Source organism: Homo sapiens, chromosome 14, assembly GCF_000001405.40.
Source record: "Homo sapiens chromosome 14, GRCh38.p14 Primary Assembly".
Taxonomy (NCBI): domain Eukaryota; kingdom Metazoa; phylum Chordata; class Mammalia; order Primates; family Hominidae; genus Homo; species Homo sapiens.
In genome coordinates this window covers 105,025,053-105,032,856 of record NC_000014.9, presented here as the reverse complement: position 1 = coordinate 105,032,856, position 7,804 = coordinate 105,025,053, and the positions used below count along the sequence as shown (strand labels likewise).

Sequence of the window (7,804 nt, the reverse complement as noted above, 5' to 3'; positions counted from 1 at the left end):
GCCTGAGGGCTGCTGATGGCCCGTTTTTATGGTTACTTTTTGATGATATGCTAAACAAGAGTGTATTATTCATGCCTCCCCTTTTTAGACCATATAGGGTAACTTCCTGACGTTACCATGACATTTGTAAACTCTCATGGTGCTGGTGGGAGTGTAGCAGTGAGGATGACCAGAGGTCACTCTTGTGGTCATCTTGGTTTTGGTGGGTTTTAGCTGGCTTCTTGACTGCAACCTGTTTTTAAATCAGCAAGGTCTTTATGACCTGTATCTTGTGCCAACTTCCTAGTCTCATTCTGTGACTTAGAATGCCTTAACCGTCTGGGAATGCAGCCCAGTAGGTTTCAGCCTCATTTTACCCAGCCCCTATTCAAGGTGGAGTTGCTCTGGTTCACACGCCTCTGACAGTTGCACAGAAAAATAAACTGTAGATCTCAACCAAATTTTGGGAGATCTGGGATTCTCTGGAGGGAGGGAAGCTCCCAGTCTTCAGCAAATTGTCCTATTGGTTTGAGCCGTAAAGAAAGCTCAAGCTGGTACCAATCACTGATAGATTTGTTGAAGGTCAGGGTCACCTCCACTCAGAGTCTTTTTTTTTTTTTTTTTTTTTGTGAGACAGAGTCTCGCTCTGTCGCCCAGGCTGGAGTGCAGTGGCGCAATCTTGGCTCACTGCAAGCGCCACCTCCCAGGTTCACGCCATTCTCCTGCCTCAGCCTCCCGAGTAGCTGGGACAACAGGCGCCCGCCACCACGCCCGGCTTATTTTTTTGTATTTTTAATAGAGACGGGATTTCACTGTGTTAGCCAGGATGGTCTCGATCCCCTGACCTCGTGATCCGCCCGTCTCGGCCTCCCAAAGTGCTGGGATTACAGGCGTGACCCACCGCGCCCGGCCTCAGAGTCCTTTCTGTTGGTTACCAAATTGGTAAACCAAAACGTATCTGAGGCTGGGTGCATGGCTCATACCTGTAATCCCAACACTTTGGGAGGCTGAGGCAGGTGGATCACCTGAGGTCAGGAGTTCCAGACCAGCCTGGCCAACATGGTGAAACCCCATTTCTACTGAAAATACAAAAATTACCCGAACATGGTGGTGGGTGCCTGTAGTCCCGGCTACTCAGAAGACTGAGGCAGGAGAATCGTTTCAATGGTCTGGAAAGGTGGGACAATTCAAATCGGGAAGGGGGCTTCTAGGTGATAGGTAAATAAGAGACAAAAGTTTGCATTCTTTTGAGTTTCTGATTAGCCTTTAATTGAATACACAATTTATAGGAATAGTCACTTACGCCTTAGTCCAGCTTAGTGAAACAATAGGGCAAAGAAGCCATCAGCTGTGCGTTTGTCTCACCGGAGCAGAGGGAGGACTCTTGAGTTCTGCGTGTCTTTTGTCCACAAGGAATTTTCTGTGGACAAATTTTGAGGGAAGGACATAGCTTTTTTATGTTTGTAGCTATTTTATTTAGGAATAGGATGGGAGGCAGGTTTGCTGATGGAGTTCCCAGCTTGACTTTTCCCGTTGGCTTAGTGATTTTGGGGTCCTGAGATTTATTTTCCTTTCAGTTTCTGTTATTGCAGCCAATCTGTTGGCTCTGTTACCCAGACTGGAGTGCAGTGGCACTATCTCAGCTTAACTGCAGCCTCGACCTTCTGGGCTCCAGCGATCCTCCCACTTCAGCTTGAGTAGCTGGAACCACAGGCAGGCGACACCATGTGATATAGTTAGGCTTTGTGTCCACAACGAAATCTCATCTTGAATTGTACTCCCCATAATCCCCACGTGTCAAGGGAGAGACCAAGTGGAGGTAACTGAGTCATGGGGGTGGCGGTGCCCCCATGCTGCTCTCACGTAGTGCATTTGTTCTCAAGAGATCTGATGGTTTGCAAAGGGCTCTTCCCCCTTTGCTCGGCACTTCTTTCTGCCACCTTATGAAGGTGTCTTGCTTCCCCTTTGATGGCCTCCATGATTATAAGTTTCCTGAGGCCTCCCCAGCCATGTTGAACTGTGAGCCAATTAAATCTCTTTCCTTTATAAATGACCCAGTCTCGGGCAGTACTTTATAGCAGTGTGAAAGCAAACCAATACACCACGCCCGGCTAATTTCTTGATTTTTTGTAGACGGGGTCTCGCTATGTTACCCAGGCTGGTCTCAAACTCCTGAACTCAAGTGATCCTCCCACCTTGGCCTCCCAAAATGTCAGGATTACAGGCATGAGCCACCATGCCCAGCCCCAAAAGGGGCATTTTCTACCATTTAAATAGTGACAGCTCTGCCAGTGACCATGGCTCTTTGTGACAAAAATATTAAACAACATAAAGGAAAAGAAAAAGATGGCTGGGAGGCTTAGTCACAGGCTGAGGGCCTGCCTTGACAGGAGTGTCCTGAGCATCTCCTCACTGGCTCTCTGGGGACTTCCTGGTACATATGGGCCTAAGGTCTCCACCCTACCACAGACCCAACAGCCCACAGCCCCAGGGTTGGCCCCAGGAGTCAGGATGAGTGATGAGGGGGTGGGTAGGGCCATAGCAGCGTCCTGCCTGGAATCTGAACTGTGCACAAATGCACCCAGGCTGCTCCCAAGTGAAGGGGCTCAGCTGCGAGGCTGAAAAGCTGAATGCATTTTTTTTTAATTAAACAGAAGCCTTTTTTCCTTGACTAGGTAATACATATGCATGGGAGGTAATTCCAAAGGAACAAAAAGACGGACATGGAACCTTCTAGCCTGGCCTGAGCCCCAGCCACCAGGGCACCACCCAGAGATAGCCCCTGGGGATCCAGCCATAGATACATTGTACGATACATAGTACTTAATGTACTTTTTTTTTTTTTTTTTTTTTTTGAGATGGAGTGTCTGTCTGTCGCCAGGCTGGATTGCACTGGCCCTATCTCAGCTTACTGCAACCTCCACCTCCCAGGTTCAAGCGATTCTCCTGCCTCAGCCTCCCAAGTAGCTGGGATTACAGACATGTGCCACCATGCCCGGGTAATTTTTGTATTTTTGGTACAAACAGGGTTTTACCATGTTGGCCAGGATGGTCTCGATCTCTTGACCTCGTGATCCACAAACCTCGACCTCCTGAAGTGCTGGGATTACAGGTGTGAGCCACCCCGCCTGGCTTAATGTACTTATTTATTGAAGTCAAAACACAGAATGCCCTGAAAGGGAGCACACAAAACAGATTCAACACCACCATTCAGATCAAGACAGTGATGGTCTCCAGGTCCTGGGAGACTGCCGTGCTGCCTGAGGGCCATTCTCTGGCACGGTGCCCTCTGCCTCATCTGAGCTTTCCATCTGTGGAAGCAGCCATTACTCCTGAGTTTGGCTTCTCTCCCGAAACGTTATGCTTGTGGGACCCATCCATTTGTTTGTGTGCAGCAATGTTTGCTCGTCTCATCTCACAAGTGTGCCACTGTTGAACATACCCACCTCCAGTGTCCATTCTCTTGGGGACATTTGGGTTGTTTTCAGGTTGGAGCTTTCACTGGGTGGAATGGCTCGCGCCTGTAATCCCAGCACTCTTTGGGAGGCTGAGGTGGGTGGATCACAAGGTCAGGAATTCGAGACCAGCCTGGACAACATGGTGAAACCCCATCTCTACTAAAAATACAAAAAATTAGCTGGGTGTGGTGGCGCACGCCTGTAACACCAGCTACTCAGGAGGCTGAGGCAGAAGAACTGCTTGAACCCAGGAGGTGGAAGTTGCAATGAGCCGAGATCGCACCATTGCACTCCACCATGGGCGACATAGCGAGCCTCTGTCCCCCCAAAAATAGAAGTTAAAAAAAAAAAACAGAGAGTTGAATCTCTAAGTTTAAATAAAAGGTTGTATTTGGGTGTAAGAAGTAGGACTGCAATCTGGGACATATAGACAGACCATGGTGGTCTCTGGTATGTCCAAAGAATGAAGGGAAAAGGTTAGGGTTTTATTAGGGAAAGCGTAGGCTACACAGGTTATTTTGAAAGAAAGTATATTGGAGCTGGAAGTGTCTTATAAGAGCTGGTGAGTTTTTATTTTTCATAGTTTTAAAATTAAATTCTTTTTTATAGAGACAGGGTCTCACTATGTTGTCCAGGCTGGTCTCGAACTCCTGGCCTCAAGTGATCCTCCCACTTCAGCCTCTCAGGATGCTGGGATTACTGGCATGAGCCACTGTGCCTGGCTCTGAGCTGGTGAGTTCTGACTGGCAAGTGTTGGTAGTTGCTAGGTAGGACGTGTAGTCTGGGAGTTGGCTAGGCTCCCGCAGTTTTGGATTGGGCTTGTGAGGCCACGTGTCAGGCAAGTGTTCTTGTATAAGCAGCTAGCTGTCCTTGTGTGACTTGTGTAGTGACCTGTGGTTTGGAAACATCTCATGATAGTTCTTATAATCGCGCACATCATACACGGGAGACTTCCCTTCATGCCCTTCCCCAGCTCCATGTAGCCAGGGGATTGTCACAAGTGATCCCGTTTTGAATCGGACAACTTTCACCAGGCTACTATGAGTAACCCTGCTATAAATTTTATTGTATAAATCTTTTTGTGAACATATGCATGCCTTTCTACGGGACACATCCTGACAAGCAGTGCTAAGTCATAGGCTCGGTGTGTGCTCAGGTCTGGCAGATCCTGCCATACATCTCCAAAGTGATTGTCCAGCTCACCACTTTCTTGTTCTTCAAGGTTGTTTTGGCTCTTTTTGGCACTTTGTATTGCCATAAAAATGTGAGAATCAGTTTGTCAATTCCCATAAAAGGTTGGTATTTTGACTGAGATTGCTTTGAATCTGAAGATAAATTTCGAGGTCTCTGATATCTTTACAAGAGTAAGTCTTCCAATCCATATGCCTGGTTTATTCCTCCATTTATTTAGATTTCTCTTGGCAATGTTGTGTAGTTTTCTGTGTAGAGGTCTTACATATTCAATGTTAGATTTATCCCTAGTGCTGATGTTTTCAGTGGTTTGCAAATGACATCATTAAAAAAGTATTTTATAATGGTTTCTGGCTTTTTTTTTTTTTTTGGGATGGAGTCTCACACTGTCGCCCAGGCTGGAGTGCAATGGCGTGGTCTTGGCTCACTGCAACCTCTGCCTCCTGGGTTTAAGCGATTTTCCTGCCTCAGCCTCCCAAGTAGCTGGGATTACAAGCTCCCAACACCATGCCCACCTGATTTTTTGTATTTTTAGTAAAGACGGGATTTCACCATGTTGGCCAGTCTGGTCTGGAACTCCTGACCTCATGATCCGCCTGCCTCAGACTCGCAAAGTGCTGGGATTACAGGCATGAGCCACCACGCCCGGCCAATGGTTTCTTATATATACAAATAGAATTGATTTTCCTGTATTGGCTATATTAAAAAATAAAAATCCAAGACAAGTTAAATATAACTGAGTTTAAGTAAGCAGAGAAAACATTCGTGTACCTGGGAAACAGTCCAGACTGAAAATGGTTTAGAATGCATCACCCAGCAATTTCTGCAAGCTATATTTATAGCCAGAGAAGAGGAAATGACATACAGAAATAACCTGATTGGTTACATTTGGTGTTTGCCTTGTTTGGTCATGTTTTGGCAGCCTTCAGCCTCTGACTGGTGGACATTCAGCTGCTATGATTGGCTGAGACTCAGCTGCTTATTACAAACCCATCCATCCTCTTAGGTTAGTATACAATTTGTTTACACATTAACTTTTTATTAATTTGAACAATTTATCTGGGGATTCCCTCCCTCCCTTCCTTTCTTCCTCCTTCCTTCTCTCCTTCCTTCCTCCATCCCTCCCTGCCTCCCTTCCTCCTTCCTCCCTCCCTTCCTTTCTCTCTTCTGAGACTCTTTCTTGACAGTCTTGCTCTGTCACCCAGAGTGACAGTGGTACAATCATGGCTCACTCTAGTCTCAACTTCCCAGGCTTAAGCAATCTTCTTGCTTCAGCCTCCTGAGTAACTGGGACTACAGGTGTGCATCACTACACCTGACTAATTTTATTATTTTTATTTTATTTTTCTTTTTTTGAGACAGAGTCTTGCTCTGTCACCCAGGCTAGAGTGCAGTGGCACAATCTCCACTCACTGCAACCTCCACCTCCTTGTTTCAAGCGATTCTTCTGCCTTAGCCTCCCAAGTAGCTGGGACTACAGTTGCGTGCCACCACACCCGGCTAATTTTTGTATTTTTAGTAGATATGGGGTTTCACCATATTGGCCAGGCTGGTCTTGAATTCCTGACCTCATGATCCGCTTGCCTTGGCCTCCCAAAGTGCTGGGATAACAGCCGTGAGCCACTGCGCCCGGCTCATGTGGCTAATTTTTAAAATTTTTTTGTAGAGACAAGGTCTCACTATGTTGCCTGGTCTGGTGTCAAACCCCTGGCCTCAAGTGAGCCTCCTGCCTTGGTCTCTCAAAGTGCTGGGATCAGAGGTGTGAGCCACCGCGCCCAGCATCCTTTGGATTTTCTACGTTCAAATTCCAACTTTCTGAAATTAATGATAATTTTAGTTCATTTTCAAATCTTCATACCTTTTCTTTCTTTTTCTTGCCTTCTTACAATAGCTAGGTCCTAGAGTACAACGTTGGGTAGAAATTAGTCAGAGCGGAGATGAGTCAGGAGATGAGGAAGTAATAGGAGAAAGCTTTACCATTTTCACCATTTCGCTATTCATTTTAGTATTTCCTGTGGATTCTTGTAGATACAGATGGTCTCTGACTTATGATTGCTTGACTTAACGATTTTTTGACTTTACAGTGGTGCAAAAGCAATACGCATTCAGTAGGAACCGTACTTCCAAGTACCCAGCCGGCCATTCTGTTTTTCACTTTCAGTGATGGTGAAAAAAGTGAAAGTATTCAGTAAATTCCATGACATAGTCAGTATTTTATTATAAAATAGGCTTTGAGTTAAGATGGTTTTACTCAACTGTAGATTAAGCTAAGTGTTTTGAGATGTGTAAGATGGGCTAGGCTTAAGGCATGTTTGGTAGGTTAGATGTATTAAATGCATTCTCAACTTATTTTTGATATTTTCAAATTACAATAGGGTTTTTGAGACATAATTTCATCCTAAGTGGAGAAGCATCTGTATATATTTGTTTAATTTTACTACAGTATACACCAATATCTGTCATTACTAAGTATATATTTAAGTTTACTTACAGTATGTTCAAGTATGTGGTAAGAATTAGTAGACTACAGTAATGTTTGGTTAGGTGTGGTGGTGTGTGCCAGTAGCCCAAGCTACTTGGGAGGCTGAGGCGAGAGAATCACTTCAGCTGGGGGAGGTCAAGGCTGCAGTGAGCACCACTGCACTTCAGCCTGGGCCACAGAGCAAGACCTTGTCTCAAAACAATAACGATAATAGGCTGGGTGCAGTGGCTCAAGCCTGTAATCCCAGCACTTTGGGAGGCTAAGGCGGGCAGATCACTTGACGTCAGGAGTTCGAGACCAGCCTCGCCAACATGGTGAAACCTTGTCTCTACTAAAAATACAAAAATTAGCCAGGTATGGTGGTGGGCGCCTGTAATCCCAGCTACTAGGGAGGCTGAGGCAGGAGAATCGCTTGAACTCAGGAGGCAGAGGTTGCAGTGAGTTGAGAGCATCACACCATTGCACTCCAGCCTGGGCGACAGAGTGAGATTCTGTCTCAAAATAATAGTAACAATAATAATGTCCTCCAGGGAATTGTCTTCTCGTGTCCACACTGGCCCTAGGCTTGGCCACATGTGGTTTGGCCACCTGGACATTGGCACATATGAGCAGAGCAGAGGGAAGTATAAAAAGAGCCCCTGTATTGGTGCCTGCCTGGGCTGGCCTTCCGGAGGATGACAGAGCAGAGATGAGT

General features: G+C 46.1%; 2 annotated features.

The window, feature by feature from the left end:
* Positions 5,391–5,685: an enhancer, noted in NCBI's record as "tiled region #5751; HepG2 Activating non-DNase unmatched - State 22:ReprW, and K562 Activating DNase matched - State 18:Pol2". NCBI's record gives its function as "activates a minimal TATA promoter and a strong SV40 promoter by Sharpr-MPRA in HepG2 and K562 cells {active_cell/tissue: HepG2 | K562}" and the evidence as "EXISTENCE:reporter gene assay evidence [ECO:0000049][PMID:27701403]".
* Positions 6,487–6,546: an enhancer, noted in NCBI's record as "active region_9128". NCBI's record gives its function as "activates an Ori minimal core promoter by ATAC-STARR-seq in GM12878 lymphoblastoid cells {active_cell/tissue: GM12878}" and the evidence as "EXISTENCE:reporter gene assay evidence [ECO:0000049][PMID:35858748]".